We start from the raw sequence: 22,722 nt of genomic DNA on the forward strand, positions 1-22,722 counted from the left end.
TGTCATCATGATGTTAGCTGATTATTATGCAGACTCGTTTATGTGGTTGCTTTATAGTGTTATTGGTCTCTCTACTTCAGTGTATTTTTGTAGTGGCTGGCAATCATCTTTCCTTTCCATATTTAGTGCTTCCTTTAGGAACTCTTGTAAGGCAGCTCTGTTGGTAACAAATTCTCTCAGCATTTGCTTGTCTGGAAAGGATCTTATTTCCCTTTTGCTTACAAAGCTTAGTTTGGCCAGATATTAAATTCTTGGTTGGAATTTCTTTTCTTTAAGAATGTTGAATATTTGCCCCCAATCTCTTCTGACTTATAGGATTTCTGCTGAGTGGTCCATTGTTAGTCAGATGAGCTTCCCTTTGTAGGTCACCTGACCTTTCTCTCTTGCTGCCTTTAACATTTTGTCTTTCATTTTGACCTCGGGGTTTCTGATGATTATGTGTCTTGGGGCTGATTTGCTTGTGAATTATCTTACTGGAGTTCTCTGCATTTCCTGCATTTAAATGTTGGCCTCTCTAGCTAGGTTGGGAACGTTCTCATGGATAATATCCTAAAATACGTTTTCCAAATTGGTCCCCTTCTCCCCTTCTCTTTCAGAGATACCAATCAGTCATAGATTTGGTCTCTTTACATAATCCCATATTTCTCGGAGGTATGTTAGTTGATTTTCATTCTTTTTTTTCTCTATTCTTGTCTGTTTGTCTTATTTCAGAAGGCAATCTTCAAACTCTGAGATTATTTCCTCCACTTGGTCTATCCTGCTATTAATACTTGCAATTGCATTATGAAATTCTTATAGTGTATTTTTCAGCTCTATTATCAGGTTGTTTATATTCTTTTCTATATGGGTTATTTTGTCTGTCAGTTTCTGCACTGTTTTATCATGATTTTTAGCTTCGTTGCATTGGGTTTCAATATATCTTTGTAGCTCAATGATCTTCCTTTCTATCCATATTCTGAATTCTATTGCTCTCATTTCAGCCAGTTCATCCCAGTTTCCAAACCCTTGCTGGAGAGGTGATTTGCTGGTTTGCATGATAGAAGACACCCCAGCTTTTTGAGCTTTTGGCATTCTTGCACTGATTCTTTCTCATCTTTGTGGGCTTACCTACCTTCAATCTTTGAGATTGCTGACCTTTGGATAAGTTTTTTTTTTTCTTTTATCCTATATGATGACCTTGAGGGTTTGATTGTGGTGCAATGTGGATTCAGTCAACTGGCTTTGTTTCTGGAAGATTTTTAGGGGTTCAATACTCAGCTTCCAGCTCCTGTACTGCATACTCTAACTCTGGCATGGGGGGACTTGCATTGAGCCCTGACTTTGTTCTCTGGCTCCTCAAGGTTTGGAGTCTGCTGCGCTGTGGTGGGCTGAGGTGCAGCAGCAGCAGCAGAGTGCTAGTGGATGCAGGGCTGCCTGCCTCCCTGTGGACTTTCACCACAGTGGTGGAGGCAACAGAACTGTGAGAGTGGGGCTGTAGGGGGCCCCTGTTGGAGACTGCATGAGCAGTTGCACTGGAGGTGGTGTTGGCTTGGGAACAGAGTACTGGTAGGTGCAGGTCTGGGTGCCTTCTCTGTGCTCTGCAAGCAGAAGTGATTGCTTAGGGTGTGGGAGGATCCACTCTTCTCTGCCTAGTGTTAGTGCAGAGTCGGGCACTGGTAGAGGCATGGCTTGCTGGGTCTGTGGCTACCAAAGCTCTTTCTGCAATGGCAGTCAGAAGGGGGATGGGGGGTAAACTGTACTCCCTCATGTTGGTAGGTAAAGAAAAACCTACTCATGCAGACATGTGCCCACAAAGTGATGTGGGGAGTTGCCACGGACCCTGGCGGAAGCTGTAGTATGTGAAGGGAGCATGAGATCTGATGCATGGCCATAGAAGCCACCTTGCTGGAGCTCTTCACAGGTCAGGCACAGTCCACCAGCACAGAAGCTATGATGTGGGCCCCCAGGGCCCTTGAGACTGCCCTGTGAGCAGGTATGGCCAGGCTGGAGCCCCAGGAGAGGTCACCAGACCAAAGGATACATGGGTTGGACTAGCCCCATCTGATGTGCAAGACTGCTCTGCAGCAATCAGGTCCAATAATTTCCCTAGGGCTAAAGTCTCTTATAGGAGCAAGTTGAGCCCAGGGAGATGGCCTTCCCTGGCTGCTCTCTACTATAGATGCTCCAGCACCAAATCTTCTGGACTCTACATCAGCTGGCTTGCTGCTGCTACCATTTCTTTAAACAGCTCTCCCTGCCACCTAAAGTGTCCATGGTGGTCAAGAGGTCCCCTCTTGCTGGGTTTCCAGAGGCCTGTAGCAAGAGCAGGTTGCTCCTTGCCAGCTCAACTCACCCATTACCCTGGAGCTGTTGTGGTTCAAAAATGGGTCCCAGTGTGTGGTAGCCCATGCAGAGTTCCCAGCTTTCTCCTGCTTCAGCCCACTCTCTGTGTCTTCCCTCTGTCCACTCTTGGAACCTTCCCTCTGAACATCTGTTCAGAGTACACCAGTTGTCTCAGTCCTGTGTGGGAGCTGTTCCATTTGTCTGCATCTAGTGGCCATGTTGCTCTCTCTCCTTTTCTGATACTTCTCATGGAAGGCAGGAGCATGGAGAATAGCACGATTAGATGACAGAGAGCATTTTGTGAAAATTATAGTAGTAATTTCTTCTGAGAAGCCTAAAAGAATATTATTCTTTTTTACCAGTCATATTGGCCAGTGGGCAGGTTAATGTTATGTTAGAGGTTTACATGAAGGGTCAGCCTCATAAAGTTTCCCTGCTTACTGCAGTGCAATCCTCAGCAAGTCACTGGGAAACTCCCTAGTGGGGCTGCAGAGCAAACACATAGGCAGCACTCTGATCAATGGGTTGAGAAGCCTCCTAGGAACTGGGGGCCAAGAACACAGATGAAACAAAGCCCTGTTGGGTTGCCTGGTGTGCAGGCTGTAGTGTGGGCAGAATGAATATTTCAAACAAGGACAATGGAGCCTTATTATGGAAATGATGTACACTGAAACTTCTAAAGGTTGTCTGTAACGTTTTTCCTCTCTGAAGAAGTCATGCTTCTATAATAACATTTACAAAGTTTAACATTTTAACCTGGTTAAACACACTTTGCCTTTTTCCTTTTTTTGCTGTCAATAAGCATCTATAACTAGCAACAAAATTAAGTAAGGTCACAAGAAATTTTCTGAAACTTCTCATATGATGAATGTTCCTCAGAATAATGATGATCATGAAGCTAGAAATGTACTCAAGTTGATTCTCAATTATATGCACTAACAGAGAACAGCAATGGGGTAAACAATCCAAATTGAGAGAATGGTAAAAAAAATAATTTTTTGACTTTAGAAATATCTTCTATGATTTGTCTCCAGAGTATGTACTTTCATAATTTTGAATAATTTCTCTCCTTAAAAACTCTTCAACTGTTCCCATCAACTATAGGATAAAGTCCAATAATTCTTAATGTGCCCCTTGTGATCTGTGACCTCTCTGTTTCCATAGGTCTTTGTCCTCCAGTCATACTAAATTATTTGTGGTTTGTTAAATCTATGCAGTTTTCAAATCCAGAAGCTAAAGTGTGGCTGATATTTCTTATTTCTCTTTTTCCACTTGGCAAGTTTTTACTCCCCTTCCATAATAAATTCAAACTCTCCTCTGTGAATATTTGTCCTCCCTGTAGCCTACTTACTGGGAGATACTAATGAGCTCTCCACTGTATTCTTTCAGAATTATTTTCCTACTTCTTTCTTGGAACTCACAGCACTATAGAACAACTGTCTACATGTGTCAGTTTTTCATCAAAAGTGTGAGCTACTTGAGGCCAGGGAACTGTTGGAATTCTCAGAGACCCCAAATAGCAGCATAATGAATGGTAAATGACCGAGGGGCTGAGTTATGAAAAGAAAGTACAGATTAGAACTCTGCAAGAAGAGAGATACTCTGGGATTTGTCTTTTATGTGAGAAAACCCACACAGTACATAAATCTCCCTGGAATAAATGCATAGTTAGAATTTTATATGTGCTTTTGCCTCCTAGATTATAGAGGCCACAGAGACCATTTGTATTTTATTCTTCCCAAACAAACAAACCTCAGTTTTTCTAACATACTTGACAAGTGACTTTCAGGGAGGAGGCATTCACTGTCTCAAAAGGAAGACCACTCCATTCTTGAATGCTTATAATTGTGAAAATATTATTGTTTGTTGTTTGTTGTAAATCAAACCAAAATCTTTTTCTCTGTTAATTCATCTTTTCTCCGCCAGTCTTGGAGTCAGAACATGCCCTGACAGGCTAAAGAATAAGGTTAACTTGATTTCGTAAAACAAATCATCAAACATTTGAAATCTGAGATCTGAGGTAAATTACCTAATCCCTCAAAGACCCATTGGTTTTTCTTTCTTTTTTAAATCTTTCAATGGAACCATTCTTTCAGATCTTTAAATAGCACTAACCTCCCAGGGTTGTAATGATGACTAGATAAAATTAAACATGTAAAGAACCTAAAACAGTGCCAGGTAAATAACACTAAAAAGAAAAAATCTAGTTAAACAACTCTTAGGTCTTTCAATAATTAACTACATAAAATGTCCCCCTTTTTTTTGTTTGTTTTTTTGAGACACAGTCTCGCTTTATAGCCCAGGCACGATCTTGGCCCACTGCAACCTCCACCTCCTGGGTTCAAGGGATTATCCTGCGTCAGCCTCCCACGTAGCTGGGATTACAGGCGTGCACCACTACATCTGGCTAATTTTTGTATTTTTAGTAGAGATGGGGTTCCGCCATGTTGGCCATGCTGGTCTCAAACTCCTGACCTCAGGTGATCCACCCACTTTGGCCCCCCAAAGTGCTGGGATTAGAGGCATAAGCCACCGTGCCTGGCCTATACAAAATTTTCTACAACATCCTGGCTACCCTCAAGTCCCTGCACTTCAGTTTATAACAGTCTCTCTAGTAACAGAGTGTCCAGAATGTTATGGGTCATAACAGATGTGGACAAAGTAGTGCAGATTCCAGTGGGATGATGTCCTTCCTTTATGAGACACCAATTTTCCATTACAGCAACAACATTTACATTCATTTTTTGGCAGCTTCGTAACACTATTGATTTATATTGAGTTTATAGTTGACTAAAACCCCTAGGTCACCTGTGAATGAAGTTCTCTAATCCAGGTCTCTATCATTCTAATCTTGTACAGTTGGTCATTTTGAAGGAATGTGTAACATTTTCATTTTAATCCAATTATCCTTCTTCTTGGGTTTAGCTTTTTCTTAACTTTCTCAAAGTACAAGGTCAACAAGATATTGGCAATCATTTTGTGCTTTTGCTGAGTGCACAGAATATAAAATAAAGAAAATAAAATTTTGACCTGAACTGTGGAAAGGATTAAATAGCACAGCATATATAAAATTCCAAGCACATTGCCTAGAATATAGGAAGTGTTTTATATTTAATACTTTTCCTTTATGTGATATTCAAATATGATAATCAACACTTTATATATTTTAGGCTAGGACCAAAGCAGAGTAGTTCTCAGTAATAAAAATCAAGGAAACATCAATCAACTATTAATGTTGTTTATGAATGGCCTTATAATCATCTATGAATCCATTTAATTCTACTCTTAACTTGCATTTTCTGGTTACTTTATATTAATAACTAGCTTTGATTATGTTGTCCTTTGCAAAAAAGGCCTACTAACACTGGGGTACTCATTGTACACCCTCTTGTTCTGGCTGATGATTGTGTGTGTGGGCAGTGGAGAGGGGTGTCCCTCCTGATGATTGCCCAGGGCTCAAGCATAAGGGAAGTGCTTTGTTGGAAAGAACTGTTTTCTTCAGGCTTCTCTCCTCTCTTCAGAGCCCTTGTTTTCTCGTAGGTGCTTACTCTGTACCCCTTATCTATAAGGCATTGCCTTGATCAACATATACTGATTCTGCTAAAACATTAGTAACAGATTCAGGTTTCAATTCTTGTGGATATATTTTCTTTTTATTGAAAAACCATTGAATCTTTCATGATTCAAAAAAAAGATTCCAGGTCACTTAATTTTAGCAAGCTTTCCTGGCCACATGCAAAGTAGCACCATAGACTTAACAGTCTATTGAGAAAGGTGATAAATGATACTACATACCACATTAACTCATGCATTCAACAGATGCTTACTGATCATTTATTATATGTGGAGGCACCAAAGATAGGTGATAAACAAGACAGAGATAATCCCTCCCCTCATAATGTTCCCAGTGTATTGAGGGAGATAGGCAATAAACAAATTAGCCCAAAAGAGGTGGTGATGAGACTTTGCAGGATAATATTTTAAGATACTAATTTAGTTTTTTAATGTTATATTTTCCCTTTTCTCATTAATGCCCTAGGAGAAGTTTGTGACAGGAAAAAATAGGCTAACATGAAGTTTCTTCCCTGGCTTTTGTTTCCAAATGCCATTGGTAATTGAGGAACTCATGCTAGGTGTTTAGAAGGAAAGAGGAAAGGATGTGCCTCTGGAAAGTCAGGGAAAATAGGCTTCCCTTGAGAATTAAAGAAGTTCCCTTAAGTTGGAACTTGGATTGACAGTTGTTGGTATATAGGAATGCTAGTGATTTTTGTACATTGATTTTTGTATCCTGAGACTTTGCTGAAATTGTTTGTTAACTTATGGAGCTTTTGTGTTGAGACTATGAAATTTTCTAGCTATAGATCATGTGGTATACAAACAGGGATAGTCTGACTTCCTCTCTTCCTATTTAGATTCCCTTTATTTCTTTCTCTTGCCTGATTGCCCTGGCCGGGACTTCCAATACTATGTTGAATGGGAATGGTGAGAGAGGGCATCCTTGCCTTGTACCATCTTTCAAGGGGATGCTTCCAGCTTTTGCCCAATCCCTATGATGTTGGCTGTGGTTTGTCATGGATGACTCCTATTATTTTGAGGTATGTTTCTTCAATACCCAGTTTATTGAGAGTTTTTAACAGGAAGGGGTTTGAATTTTATCAAAAGCCTTTTCTGCATCTATTGAGATGGTCATATAGTTTTTGTCTTTAGTTCTGTTTATGTGATGAATCACATTTATTGATTTGCATATGTTGAACCAAACTCACATCTAAGAGATGAAGTCTACTTTATTGTGGTGGATTAACTTTTTGATGTGCTGCTGGGCCAGGCGCGGTGGCTCATGCCTGTAATCCCAGCACTTTGGGAGGCCAAGGCAGGCGGATCACCTGAGGTCGGGAGTTCGAGACCAGCCTGACCAACATGGAGAAACCCCGTCTCTACTAAAAATACAAAATTAGCCAGGCGTGATGACACATGCCTGTAATCCCAGCTACTCAGGGGGCTGAGGCAGGAGAATTGCTTGAACCCGGGAGGCGGAGGTTGCGGTGAGCCAAGATCGCACCACTGCACTCCAGCCTGGGCAACAACAGCAAAACTCCATCTCAAAAAAAAAAAAAAAAAAAAAAAAAAGATGTGCTGCTGGATTCAGTTTGCCAGTATTTTGTTGGAGATTTTTGCATAGATGTTCTTCAAGAATATTGACCTGTGATTTTCATTTTTTGTTTTATCTCTGCCAGGTTTTGGTATCAGGATGATGCTGGCCTCATAGAATGAGTTAAGGAGGAGTCCCTCCTCAAACTTTTGGAATAGTTTCAATAGGAATGGTACTAGCTCTTCTGTGTTCTCTGGTAGAATTTGGCTTTGAATCCATCTGGTCCTGTGCTTTTTTTTGGTTAGTAGGCTATTTATTACTGATTCAATTTTGTAGCTGATTATTAGTCTGTTTGGGGATTCAATCACTTTTAAGTTCAGTCCTGGGAGGGTGTATGTATCCAGAAATCTATATATTTCTTCTAGATTTGTGTGCTTATGAGCACACAAACTATAGGTGTTCATGATATTCTCTGATCGTTATTTGTTTTTCATAATGTTCTCTGATGTTTATTTGTATTTCTGGGGGTCATTGATAATACCCGGTTCATCATTTCTAATTGTGTATGTTTGCATCTTCTCTGTTTTCTTCTTTATTAGTCTACCTAACAGTCTATCTATTTTATTAAATTTTTCCCAAAAAATCCACTCATGGATTCATTGATCTTTTGAATGTTTTTTTGTTTCTCAGTCTCCTTCAGTTCAGCTCTGATTTTGGTTATTTCTTGTCTTCTGCTAGCTTTGATTTGCTCTTGGTTCTCTAGTTCTTTTAGTTGTAATGTTAGGTTGTTAACTTGATATCTTTCTAACTTTTTGATATGGACATTTAGTGCTGTATATTTCCCTCTTAACACTGCCTTAATTTTGTCCTAGAGATTCTCATATGTTGTATCTTTTTTTCTCATTAGTTTCAAAGAACTTCTTGACTTCTGCCTTAATTTCATTTTTTACCCAAAAGTCATTCAGGAGCAGATTATTCAATTTCCATGTAATTTTATGTTTTTCAGTGATTTTCTTAGTTTTGATTTCTAATTTTTTCCTCTGGAGTCAGAGTCATAGTGGGTGTTATGATTTTAGTCCTTTTGAATTCACTGAGGAGTATTTTTGTGTCTGATTATGTGATTGATTTTAGAGTATGTGCCATGTAGCAATGAGAGGAATGTATATTCTGTAGTTTTGGGGTGGAGAGCTCTGTAGATATCCATTAGGTACATTTAATCCAGTGCTGAGTTCAGGCCCTGCATATCTTTGTTAATTTCCTGCCTCAGTGATCTGACTACTACTGTCAGTGGAGTGTTGAAGTTTCTCACTAATATTTTATGGGAGTCTGAGTCACTTTGAAGGTCTCTAAGAACGTGCCTTATTAATATGAGTGTTTCTGTGTTGGGTGTATATATATTTAGGATAGTTAGGTCTTCATGTTGAATTGAATCCTTTACCATATGTAATGCCCTTCTTTGTCTTTTATGACCTTTGTTTAAGTCTGTTTTGTCTAAAATTAGGATCGCAACCCCTGCTTTTTTTTGTTGTTTTCCATTTGTTTAGCAGATATTTCTCCATTCCTTTATTTTGAGTCAATGTGTGTCATTGCATGTGAGATTGGTCTCTTCACAGCATACCAATGGATCTTGATTATTTATCTAGCTTGCCACTCTGTCTTTTAACTGGGGGATTTAGCCCCTTTACATTTAAGGTTAGTATTGATATGTGTGGATTTGATCCTGTCATCATGATGTTAAGCTGGTTATTATGCAGATTTGTGTGGTTGCTTTATAGTGTCTCTGGTCTATGTACTTCAGTGTGTTTTTGTAGTGGCTGGTAATCGTCTTTCCATATTTAGTGCTTCCTTTAGGAGCTCTTGTAAGGAAGGTCTGGTGGTAACAAATTCCCTCAGCATTGCTGGTCTGAAAAGGATCTTATTTCTCCTTTGCTTATGAAGCTTAGTTTGGCCAGATATGAAATTCTTGGTTGGAATTTCTTTTCTTAATGAATGTTGAATATTGGCCTCTAATATCTTCAGGCTTGTAGGGTTTCTGCTGAGAGGTCCGCTGTTAGTCAGATGGGCTTCCCTTTTTAGGTGACCTGACTTTTCCCTCTAGCTGCCTTTAACATTTTCCCTCATTTCAACCTTGGAGAATCTGATGATTATGTGTCTTGGGGATGATCTTCTTGTGAAGTATCTTACTGGGGCTCTCTGCATTTCCTGAATTTGAATGTTGGCATCTCTAGCTATGTTGGGGAAGTTTTCATGAATATCTTGAAACATTATTTGTAATTTGCTTCCATTCTCCCCATCTTTCTCAGGCACAACAGTGAGTTGTAGATTTGGTCTTTTTACATAATATCATACTTCTTGGAGGTTTTGTTTGTTCCTTTTTTTCTATTACTGTCAGTCTGACTTATTTCAGGAAGCCAGTCTTCAAGCTCTGAAATTCTTTCCTCAGTCTGGTCTGTTCTGCTATTAATACTTGCAATTGCGTTATGAAATTCTTCTGTGTTTTTCAGCTCTATCAGGTTGTTTATATTATTTTGTATACTGGCAATTTTGTGTGTCAGCTCGTATATCATTTTATTGTGATTCTTCACTTCCTTGCATTGGGTTTCAAAGTACTCCTTCATCTTGATGATCTTCATTTCTGTCCATATTCTGAATTCTATGTCTGTCATTTCAGCCATTTCAGCTCAGTTCAGAACCCTTGCTAGAGAACTAGTGCAGTTGTTTGAAGGAATTAAGGCACTCTGGCTTTTTGAGTTGTCAGCGTTCATGGACTGGTTCTTTCTCATCTATATGGGCTGGTGTTCCTTCAGTCTTTGAAGCTGCTGTCCTTTGGATGGGTGTTTTTTACTTTTAGCCTACTTGATGATTTTGAGGATTCGATTGTGGTATAAGGTGGGTTCATTCAACTAGCTTTGTTTCTAGAAGATTTTAGGTGGCCAAGGCTCATCTCCCAACTCCTGGACTGTATGCTCTAACACTGGGGATCTTGTATCAGGCCTCAACTTAGCTCTCTGGCTCCCTGCAATTAGGAATCCATTGTGCTGAGGTGACCAAGGTGTTCCCAGACCACTGGTCACTACACTCCAATGAGTGGTGCAGCAGCAGCAGAGTAATGGGGTACGTGCTTGTCAGCTGCAGCAGGTGACAGCAAGGGCCAGGGTGCCTGCTTTTGTGTGGGCATTTACGGCAGCGGGGGAGGTAGCACAGTTTGCAGGGAAAGGGAGCCCTCGTTGGTGACTGCACATGGTCACACTGGTGATGTTATTAGCATGGAGGCATGGCCCTGGCGGGTGCAAGTCTGTGCTTTTTCTACCAAAAAATAACTGGTCTTCAAAAATGTAGGGTCATGAAAGACAAAGAAAGGAAGTACTATTTTAGATTAAAGGATACTAAAGGAACATGACAAAGAAATAAAATTAATTCTTGATCACAGCAATTTTTTTTCTTTTGTTATATAATGCTCTAGCAGAACAATTTGCAATATTTGAATAATAGCTATAGACTACATGGTAATATTATACCATTGTAAATTTTCTGAGTTTGATAATAGTGCTGTAGTTAAGACAATGTCCTTGTTTTTAGTGAAAACGTACTGAATTATGTAGTGATAAAGAACTTTTTCTGCACAATATTCTCTCAGTATGTATGTATACATACTACATATGTATGTACATGAGAGAAGGAAGATAGAAAGCAAATGTGATAAAATTTTAACATTTGGGGAAATTAGGTGAAAAATATAATAAATTCTTTGTACTATTTCTGCATCTTTACTGAAAATCTGAAATTATTCCAAAAAATTAAAATTAAAAGAGTAAGTCGTAAACAGAGAAGATATTTATAATGCATGTATCTTACTAAGGACTTGAATCCAAATATAAAAAGATTTATATAACTCAAGAATAAAAAGATAAACCTATAAAAATAGAAAATATATGTGAATAGATAGTACAAAAATATTTGCCTGTAGCCAAAAAAAATACATAAAAGATTCAATGTTACTCCTCATCAGATTAATAACATTCTTATCATTGTGTAGTTGTTTACTTTATTACTAATGACCCTTTTTCATTTATGGAGCATATTTCTAAAACTTTTATGGCTACCCTTCATTTCTTCGGGTTAGTGTTTGTGTTTCTACTTTTTTCCATTCATTTACTTTCATATTTTCTATAATTTTGTTTAGGTGTGTCTTTTAAAACATACCTTTAGCTAGATATTTTCTTAACTAGTCTGATGACTCTGTCTTTAGACTGATGAATTTAGTAATTTTACATTTATGTGATTAATAATATCTTTAGAATTAAGTTTGCCATCTTTTTTCAGCTTTATATTTCCCTTGTGTTTCCATGTTTCTTTTATCTAACTTTCCTGCATTCTTTAAATTGATGTTTCATTTTATTTTTATTCTTTATTTTAAAAAATTATATACTGTATTCATATTCTCTTACTTCTAAACCTTTAATATAGTATACTTAAAATCTACAGTTAACATTTCTACACTTCAGTATAATACACATATTTCAGAACTCTTTTAACTCCAGTAATTCCAACTTCGTATTGTCTGTCATGGGTAGTCAATATCATCTTTAGTCTCTATCATTTTATGTAGAGATTAATATTACTGTTTACACAGCCAATATTTGTTAAGAATGATACATGTGATTTTTAAAGTTATTCACTCACCATGCTTTCTTATATCTCACATCATTATAACCTGATTATTTTCCTTTTTTCCTTAACTACCACCTTGAGAATTTCCTTAAGTCTATACTTGACAAATTCTCATCTGAAAATGACTTTATTTTAACCATATCCCGGATTGATAATTTTACAGGGTAAAGAATTTTATGTTGATAGTCATTGTCCATCAGCTATTATTTTTCTTTCTTGTGGTTTTTATCATTACTATGAGAAAGTCACCTTCTAGTATAGTTGATTGTTGATGGCTAAATTTAAGATTTTCTGGTTGTCTGGTCTCCTGCAGTCATCTACTGAGGTTTCATTTCTGCCTTTTGAATCTGATAATTCTTACACTTAATCAGTCTGGAATCTTCATTCTCTCTTATTGTTGTCTTGCCTCCATTCTCTCTATTTTTTCCCTTTAAAAATTTAATTAGGTGTATCTTTGAATAACTATTCTTATCTTTATGCCTGTTAACATCTTTCTAATTTTCCATTTCCTTTATTTCTGTACTTCATTTGACAATTTCTTTTGATTAATCTACCACTTAACAAATTTACTCTTCAACCACGTGTATTCTTTTGTCTACAACATTGGTTTCAAATTCATTCCAATCATTCTATATATATTGCCGTTTCTAGGAGTTACATGCAGTACTTTTTCTGAAGGTACTATCTAATCATTTTTATGGTATTTTTTTCATTACTTATGCTTTGAACCCACATTTTGTCTCTTTAATCATTTTTAATATAGTCATTTTATATTCTTTGCTTAATTATTCTAAAATATAAAACTTTTGGAGGAGTTTAATTATTCTTTATATAATTTTTTTCTTCAATTCTTTCTCATACCTTATTTCCTCATGTGATTTTAATTTTGGTTTGTATGAGTAACTGAATCTGTGAAATATTTGGAGTATGAACTGAGGTATAGTGCTCTAGAGAGGCTGTGTGCTTGTTACTGCCAGGCACTCTGGGCATGAAAAATCTAATTCTACTTTAAAATAATGTTTTCACTTGAGATTTTTGTATCACTCAGGCACACCCACATAAGGATAGCACTATAGCTACAAATTCTCCATTACCTGAAGATATAGGCTTTCAGCCGGGTGCAGTGGCTCACGCCTGTAATCCCAGCCCTTTGGGAGGCCAAGGTGGGCAGATCACGAGGTCAGGAGATCAAGAGCATCCTGGCCAACATGGTGAAGCCCCGTTTCTACTAAAAATACAAAAATTAGCTGGGCATGGTTGCACGCGCTTGTAATCTCAGCTACTTGAGAGGCTGAGGCAGGAGAATCGCTTGAACCCGGGAGGCAGAGGTTTCAGTGAGCCGAGATTGTGCCACTACACTCCAGCCTGGTGACGGAATGAGATACTGTCTCAAAACAACAACAACAACAACAACAAAAAAAAAACTGGATCCCTTCCTTACACCTTATTAAAAAATTAACTCAAGATGGATTAAAGACTTAAATGTAAGACCTAAAACCATAAAAACCCTGGAAGAAAACCTGGGCAATACCATTCAGGACATATGCATGGGTGAAGACTTCATGACTAAAACACAAAGGGCAACGGCAACAAAAGCCAGAATTGACAAATGGGATCTAATTAAACTAAAGAGCTTCTGCACAGCAAAAGAAACTATCATCAGGTTGAACAGCCAACCTACAGAATGGGAGAAAATTTTTGCAATCTATTCATCTGACAAAGGGCTAATACCCAGAATCTACAAATAACTTAAATAAATTTACAAGAAAAAAAAACAACCCCATCAAAAAGAGGGTGAAGGATATGAACAGACACTTCTCAAAAGAATACATTTATGCAGCCAACAAACATGAAAAAATGTTTATCATCACTGGTCATTAGAGAAATGCAAATCAAAACCACAATGCGATACCATCTCATACCAGTTAGAATGGTGATCACTAAAAAGTCAGGAAACAACAGATGCTGCAGAGGATGTGGAGAAATAGCAATGCTTTTACACTGTTGGTGGGAGTGTAAATTAGTTCAACCATTGTGGAAGACAGTATGGAGATTCCTCAAGGATCTAGAACTAGAAATACCATTTGATCCAGCAATCCCATTACTGTGTATATACCCAAAGGATTATAAATCATTCTACTATAAAGACACATGCACACTTACGTTTATTGCAGCATTGTTCACAATAGCAAAGACTTGGAACCAATGCGAATACCCATCAATGATAGACTGAATAAAGAAAATGTGGCATATATACACCATGGAATACTATGCAGCCATAAAAAAGGATGAGTTCATGTACTTTGCAGGGACATGGATGAAGCTGGAAACCATCATTCTCAGCAAACTAACACAATAACAGAAAACCAGATACCACATGTTCTCACTCATAAGTGGGAGTTGAACAATAAGAACACATGGACACAGGAAGGGGAACATCACACACGGGGGCCTGTCGGGGGGTGGGGGGCTAGGGGAGTGATAGCATTAGGAGAAATACCTAATGTAGATGACGGGTTGATTGGTGCAGCAAACCACCATGGTACATGTATACCTATGTAACAAACCTGCACATTCCGCACATGTACCCCAGAACTTAAAGTATAATTTAAAAAAAATAAATAAATTTAAAAAAGAAAAAAAGATATGGGCTTTTTAATGATATTCTCAGTTCCAACACTACCTCAGGTGGGTCCAAGGCCTTGCCTGCTTCCCCATATAGCTATTACATTAAAAACAAAAACAAAATGAAAAACAGGTTTCTGCTTCTCAAAGTAAGTTCAACATCAGTTTCTGTTTATCACATTGATAGACATGTCCTTCTTCAGTATTTTCCTACTTTTCTTTTCCTTGCAAATTCATCTAGGGTTTTGATTTTCAAGTTTGGCAATTTCAACTGTTTGGTAATAAAATTTTTTCTGAATATCTAGACTACCTATTTTCAGAAATCCATCTCATAGTTGTTTAAATTTCAGGGTTATATTTACATTAGTGGTGGAGAGTTTATTCACTTCAACTAGCTCATGATCAAATACTGTCATTTTCCAATGAATGACCCTCATTTTGAGTTTCTTGTTTGTTTATTCTTTTTCATTTATTTATTATTTTGTTTGTTTAGTTTATTTCTCTCCTCTTATTCTCGTTCTGCACTTCACTTTTCTTCTTTTCTAATGGTCATTTATTTGAAAGTGTTTAAGGTCTCTTCTTTCATTTTTAGGTTTCCCTGTAAAACATGCAATATTATTTTGCATGTGTATGTTTTACCTGACATTGATGTTATTACACTTTAAACTTTTGATTTTTACTCTCTCACTCAAGTTATGTTTCTGTGGTCTATCATTTTGGTCTATATATCTATACGCATCTGTTCCTTTGCCTTCAACTGCTTTACAGCATTTATAGTGAACACTCACTATTAGTGACAGTTACTTAAATTGCCCCCAACTTTCTTTTACTACAAATATTGTAGTGAATACTCTACTACATGTTTTCTAATGGGCACATAAAATTTTCCCTGAAACATGTAAGGAGGAGAGACATTCCTAGTTTGTATAATGCTTGTATTTTTAATTTGGCTGACTACTGACACAGTGCCCTCTCAAATACCTGTACCAGTCTACACACCCCCACTGTGTGTCTTCACCCCTCCAATAGATTTGAAGGAAGCATCTTGTCCCACTCATCTTTCTATCTCTTACGATTTACTCAGCTCCTGGAACATAGTCATGGCTCAAAACATTCATAAACTTTAGCAGAAACTCAGTCCATGGAAATGCAAAAAAAAAGTAATTTCTAAATATTTGAATGATCTGATACCTAAGTAACAATTTTCATAAAATGAGAACATAGTATGAGCAGTTTCTTTTTTACACTTAATCATTTTGTTTTAGCTCACATTCTAATACAGGGAAATTACTAAAACTATTGCTTTCTTTCCGCTATTGGATTACTCTAGGGTGAATTATTGACACAACAAATACCTAGTTCATGTTATATGCTGTTTAAAAAAAGATCGTCTGAAGTTAATAATTCAGCTCACCTTTCAAAACACTCTTGCTTTCTGCTTATCGTTTTGCTTCATTATGATGATTTAGTTATTCACGGAACTTTGTTTTCTTTCCTGAAACCAGGTATATTAAAGAGGAGGTTATGTTGTTGTATAACAAAAAATATTTTAAATTCAACCTATTTAAAATGCAACCTCTAGTCTTGACAGCATCTTTTAAAATGTTGTACTTTAACGAACTTGAGGTTTCTACTGAGAAAGTTAATTTCTTTCTCTGTGTTGGTATATGTCCTAGCTTTAGGGCAATAAACATAAATAAATACTACTTTTTCAAAGATCTTGTTGCTATTGAGAATTGATGTCTAATAGACATCCTAAATTCAAACACCTCATTTCATAAAGCGTGAGACCATAATGCTTCCTAACAATAGTTTGTGACTTTGAGGTGTGTAGAGATAATTTGTAGAAATAGCATTTAACATTCACTTCTATTTTCTTTATATATATATTTTTTCTTCTTTCTTTCTAGATAAATTTTCTCAGCATAATTCATTTTCTTAAGATATATACCTTGTGCTTTTATGTGTGTACCATTTTCAGAGCTTTTCATAAACCTGAACTAATATATATCCCTTTGTAACACAGTATACCAATAGTTGATTCTCATTCAAACTGTGGATTAAATATCTGTTAATAAAATATTTTTGTGGGTCATTGCTTTATCTCCAATTTCAAGTAATAAATAAGCATTTAAATAAAAGCAATAGGTCAAAATGTTGCTTGTAGTTATTCTTTTAAAATATCAGAGGGATTCATTCCTACCTTGTTGCAGGTGGAGTACATAATGATTTTATTGAAAAAGGCTTGCTGGATAGAGGATACATCCTTCTGAAACAGAAACCCAAAATAAAGTGACTTAATGTCATACAAGTTCACTTCTGTCACATGTAACAAACTAGATTGAAGTATCTCAGGCTGGTATGCAGGTTCTGCTGTGTCTAGGACTAGATTTCTTCTATCTTGTTACCATGCCATCCTTAGAAACTTGCTTTATATCCATTGATCCAAGAGGAATCACCACTATATCTATGTTCCAGTTGGCAGGAGGGAGAAAGGATAAGGGAAGGGGTGGGGGAGAGACATGCATCCTTTGAAGGTCAGGATTCAGAAGTTGAAATTATCATTTCCAATCAAACCCTTTTCACCACAATTTAGTCATGTGGCCACACATAACTGCAATAGAGACTTGAAATGTATAATCTTTATTCTGGGTGGTCATGTAAAATTCAGGAGCTCTATTAAAATAGAGAAAGGGAAGAGTAGATAATTGGAAAATAACCAGCCATATTCTGCATACATCGTGGCTGAATTTCAGCTTATATTTCCTATCCAGAATGGATAACATCTAAAAACGTGTGAGAACAATTTTAAGATTCCATGAACCAATGAGAAGGTGGTGAGCCTGAATAAATAATGACATTTCCACTTATGTGAAAAATCCATTTTGTTAAACACATACCTTCCAGATTTCCAAAGTAACCGTAAACAGAGGTGCAGGTTTCCCATCAGTGGAGAAACTATCCAAGTGGATTCAAAACTCTTTAACTTTTTATATTCAAGTATTATCTTTGCATTATCCAAAAGGAGACATGCACCTTTAAAATATAGTTGCTGTGCAACTCCTTACTAGTGGATAAAACAGATCGCACTTTGTGCCCAATGAACATGATACAGAAAAGGAAGCGTAGGTGTTTCTAAATAAGTCTTAAGCAAGAGCAAAGCTCAGAAATTCAAATGAGGGGTAAGGGAGATGAGCTGATTTCTAGCTATATAACATAATACAGTCAAGATAATTAATAATTATTAATAATTAAAAATTACCCGGGTACTCACCCAGATTCCCTTTAGCAGCCTGTGAAGTCTATACCCCTACTTCTGCAGGCATTGGCTGCGAAGGATCATCACATCTGCACCTTCTGCCGAAAATTGCCCTTAGTTGATAGGCGCTGCCTTGCTGGAAGACGCCTGGGATTTACCCTGGCGCGTGACCACTGCTTGGCAGGGTCTTTAAAAGCCCAGTTCCTGGCCTCTGGGTGGACCAAACTCTGTAATGTGATGTACTCTTCAGCACTTGCAGTGTGATCTGATTGAGTCTGTACTTCTGCTAAAACTGTATCTTTGCTTAGTTTCTTCCTCTTTATCTTCATTCCCTTCAATAAATCCCTGGGAGTATTCCTTAATAAATCACTTTCATAAGAACCCTCATCTCAGGCACTGTTTCTAGAAATCCCAAACTAAGATATTTTTCCTTAAGTAGGTTTATTATTCTGTTAACATGAGGCATAATTAGACACATCCTGATACAATGCTCAATCTACGTCATCATCAACAACTGCCATTTTGATTAGGGACATCGAAATATTTTCACTAATCATTTACTTTATCAGAAAACAATATATAATATGTAACCCTATCACAGAGAAATATAGCTTAGTTAATCTATCCAATAATGGCCTGGCACAGTAGCTCATGCTTATAATCCCAGCACTTTGGGAGGCCGAGGCAGGTAGATCACCTGAGGTTGGGAGTCCAAGACCAGCCTGGTCAACATGGTGAAGCCCTATCTCTACTAAAAATACAAAAATCAGCCGGGCTTGGTGTCAGGTGCCTGTAATCCCAGCGACTCAGGAGGCTGAGGAAGGAGAATATCTTGAACACAGGAGGCGGAGGTTGCAGTGAGCCAAGATCACACCATTGCACTCTAGCCTGGGCAACAAAGCAAGACTCTGTCTCAAAAAACAAAACAAATAAACAATAATAAATATATTTTAGCCATAAATGATGCAGAATTGTAGGCCTAATGCTGGTCAATATATAATTTTGATAAATACATATAATTAAATTCTACCAGAACCGTTTTTGATTACAAAAAATTCAGGATCATGAAATCATGAGGCTAATGAAATGGCCTAGATGAGCTTACTGTGAAGAATAGGAGTCAAGCTCCAATTGTGCTACTGTATCTCCAAATTCATATTATGGAGAGGCTTATTATTGCAGGGTGTCATTCTACATGACTACTCAAACATTCTTAAAATTTGCAAGATACATTTAGCCCTGGAATATCACAATTCTGACTCTTCTTTACATCATGAATACTGCCAAATTTACCAGTTTTATAGTAAAAAAAAATGTATTTTTCAAAAGCCCATGAGATGTAAAAGTTGCTTACAGTAACTTCACAATAATTCTAAGGCCAAAAACTTTGCAGTAATTCTAAGAAATATATTTGTATTTATAAAATATCATCGCTTTTTAATGAATAGTTTTGGTTTTTAACCAAATCAGTTTTATTTGAAACTAGGTCACATTCATTAAACAGATACTTGTTAATTCTTGATATTTGCAGTCCAAAGGCAACCACAAGAATTTAAAATGATTCTTGCTCCTATTCATGTTTCCAAGGAGAGGGACTGCTTCTAGATTAACATTCCTGGTATCTTGTCTCATTTTCTTACTCATTGTTTCTTATGAAATAAAAGTGAAATTACTGACTCTTGTGTCCACATTGAATGATTGGGAAATCTATTAAAAAATGACCAAGGATTTATTTCTATGTTTTCTTCCATCTCCAACCCTGACCGATGTAACTCAGCAATGAGTGTGTCACCTCTTCCATTCCACACGTTCCTTTAGGTGAGTGTCTAGACCACCAAGGACTGAGAGTGCTGCAGGACCATTGAACTACCGCGGGCCCATTACTGCCAATCAAATGTTTACCAATGATAAAGGTGTAAATTTTATCTCATTTTTGGTCAGTTATTTCTCATTGTTTTCAAAACTAGAATACAGGAGAGAAGATGGTTATTCATTGACTCTCTAAAACCCCAAGAATTCTTTTCAAAATGTTTGTGCCTGTTGATGTGGTGACTGACTTCCCACCAAGCCGCCTGACGACCCCACAAAACGTATGATGCACTGATCACAGGGCACTTCAGAAAAGGCAAATGTGTTTTCTGTATTTGCAATCAAGCCAATGTGTATGCATATTTTGATCCTGAGTGAACTTTTTAAAATACTTTATTTTATTTTATTATTTTATAAGTTCCAGGATGCACGTGCAGGATATGCAGGTTTGTTACAGAGGTAAACATGTGCCGCGGTGTTTTGCTGCACCTATCAATAGCTAATGCATGCATTCGCTCTTTATCCTGATGCTCTCCCTCCCCCAAACTCCCATGACAGGCCCCAGTGTGTTGTTCACCTCCCTGTGTCCATGTGTTCTCATTGTTCAGCTCCCACTTTTAAGTGAGAACATGCAGTATTTGGTTTTGTGTGCCTCTGTTAGTTTGCTGAGGATAATGGCTTCCAGCTCCATCCATGTCCCTGCAAAGGACATGATCTTGTTCCATTTTATGAACCTGAGTGAACTTTTTTACTTAAATCAATAATATTCTTCATTCATATCTTTTAATGTACAGCTTATTTTTAAAACTTGAGTCGTCAGAAGTCTCTAATTAAAAAAAAATATATTGCCTCAAGAAACTGCTCAGTATCTCCAAAAATATTCATAATAAAACCCTGAACTGAGTTTTTTTGTATCTTACACATTATATTAAAAGACATTGCCTGACCATCAAGAGGTTTCTCTTTTTTTGTTTTTTGCAATTTCTTTTTTTGAGGTGTTGTCTCGCTCTGTTGCGCAGGTTGGAGTGCAGTGGCACGATCTTGGCTGACTGCAACCTCCGCCTCCCAGGTTCAAGCAATTCTCCTGCCTCAGCCTCCTAAGTAGCTGGAATTACAGGCGCCCGCCACCACAACCGGCTAATTTTTTTGTATTTTTAGTAGAGACAAGGTTTCGCCATATTGGCCAGGCTGGTCTCAAACTCCTGACCTCAGGTGATCCGCCTGCCTCAGCATCCCAAAGTGCTGGGATTACAGGGGTGAGCCACTGCACCCGGACTTTTTGCATTTTAAAGGGTCATTTTTTGTCTATAACACATTTATTCAACCTGACAAGAAAAAGGGGAAGAGAAAAAACACACCACGAGTTCCTCAAAAGCGGTCCACTGCTGAAATGTAGGAATTTCTCCCACCTCTTAAAAACAGTCTTTTCCTCTCACTATACCCTGGGCAATCTCATCTGCTTCATGACTTTGTACTTCATCCCTGTGTTTCTGACTTGTACCATTTGTACATCCTGTCTTGCCCACAACGTTAACATATTTGCTCTATCCTATAATATATAAAACATAATTTCAGAATTGCTACATCCATACCGCTTAGCAAAACAAACCTTGTCATAAAAGTCAGGAATTTCTTTGCATTTTTTTAGTCCTTAGAATATATCCCTCTGAGGCTGTATAGTCAGAATACAGCATTCCAAAATTACCTGGATTAATTCTTTTTTTCTTTTTTGTAGTTTTTTTTAGTGAGCTACAAAGTTCAGTTTATTTGTTTCTGCTTATCTCCAGTTTGAAGTTTCTTTTCTTCATCTTTGTTGATTTAATTTTCTAAAATTTGTTTTAAAAAAAGCATAGTTCACAATGAAAACTATATCAAATATATATGCAAAAAAAATCACACTCACATCTATACCCCTTCCACCTAACTCACAACCCTGTAGGTAATCAATTTTATTACTTTCTAGTTCGTTATTCCTGTATTTGTTTCAGTGAAATTAAACAAGTATAGACATACATATTCTAATTTCCTCTTGCTTCTTAGAAGAAAGGTAGCATATTGTAGGTTTTTCATTTGCATCTTGCTTTTTTCGTATAACAATGCATCCTAGAAATCACTCACATTAAAGAGATTTTTAATGTCAAATTAAATCTCTTTAATGTCATATTAAAGAGATTTTTTTATCATTGCTTGTACTGATTATTTTACTAATTAATATTTGGCAGCTACATAGTACTCCAATGTGTGAATGTGCCAGAGCGTATTTGACTTTCTATATGGTATTTAGGTTGCTTCCAATTTTTACTTGCGAGTAATCTTGTACCAAATTTTTTTTTTTTGTATCTTCAGACTAAAATCCTAGAAGTGGGATTGCTGAGTCATGTGGCAAAGAATATATAATTTCCATATATATTACCAAGTTTACCTTTACTGTGGCTGTACCATTTTGCACCCCCACTAGGAGAGTGCCCATTCCCCCACCTCTGTTGAACAGCCTGTGGCCAATCTTCTGGCCAGTAATTTGACAGTTAAAAATAATACATCAGTGTACTTTTATCATTTTTTCTCTTATTATGAGTAACATTAAGCATTTCTTTTATATATTAAAAAGCTATTTGTGTATCATTTATTATAAACATTTCATGATTTTGTCCATTTTTCTTTTTTGTTATTGTTGTTGTCAGTTTTTAAGAGTTCTATATATATTGTCAGTTCTTCCTTTATGGTTGGTTTCTTTTCTCCTAGCCCTAGTCATAAAGATGGTATCTTATGTAAACCTCTGCTGATACTGTCCAACAGAACTTTCTACAGTGATGGACATGTTCCATATCTTTGTTGCTCAATGCAGTGGCTGCTAGCCACAGGATTGTGGCAAAAGCTAGCTATTGCACAATTGAAATGTGACTAATACAACTAAGGAACTGAATTTTTAATTGTTTTTAATTTTAAT

The 22,722-nt window shown here is 37.1% G+C and overlaps 1 long non-coding RNA gene across 1 annotated transcript in view; it reads right to left on the bottom strand.

Annotated features, from left to right (window-relative positions):
• Window positions 1-22,722, bottom strand: part of LINC01787 (long intergenic non-protein coding RNA 1787) — a 120,057-nt gene that overhangs the window by 33,294 nt on the left and 64,041 nt on the right. The window contains exons 4-5 of the long non-coding RNA NR_110693.1: window positions 16,911-16,976; window positions 16,122-16,202 (exon numbers count right to left, since the gene is read on the bottom strand). This is a non-coding gene — a long non-coding RNA (long intergenic non-protein coding RNA 1787). The remainder of the gene's footprint in view (window positions 1-16,121; window positions 16,203-16,910; window positions 16,977-22,722) is intronic.

Source organism: Homo sapiens, chromosome 1 (assembly GCF_000001405.40).
Source record: "Homo sapiens chromosome 1, GRCh38.p14 Primary Assembly".
NCBI classification, from domain to species: Eukaryota; Metazoa; Chordata; class Mammalia; order Primates; family Hominidae; genus Homo; species Homo sapiens.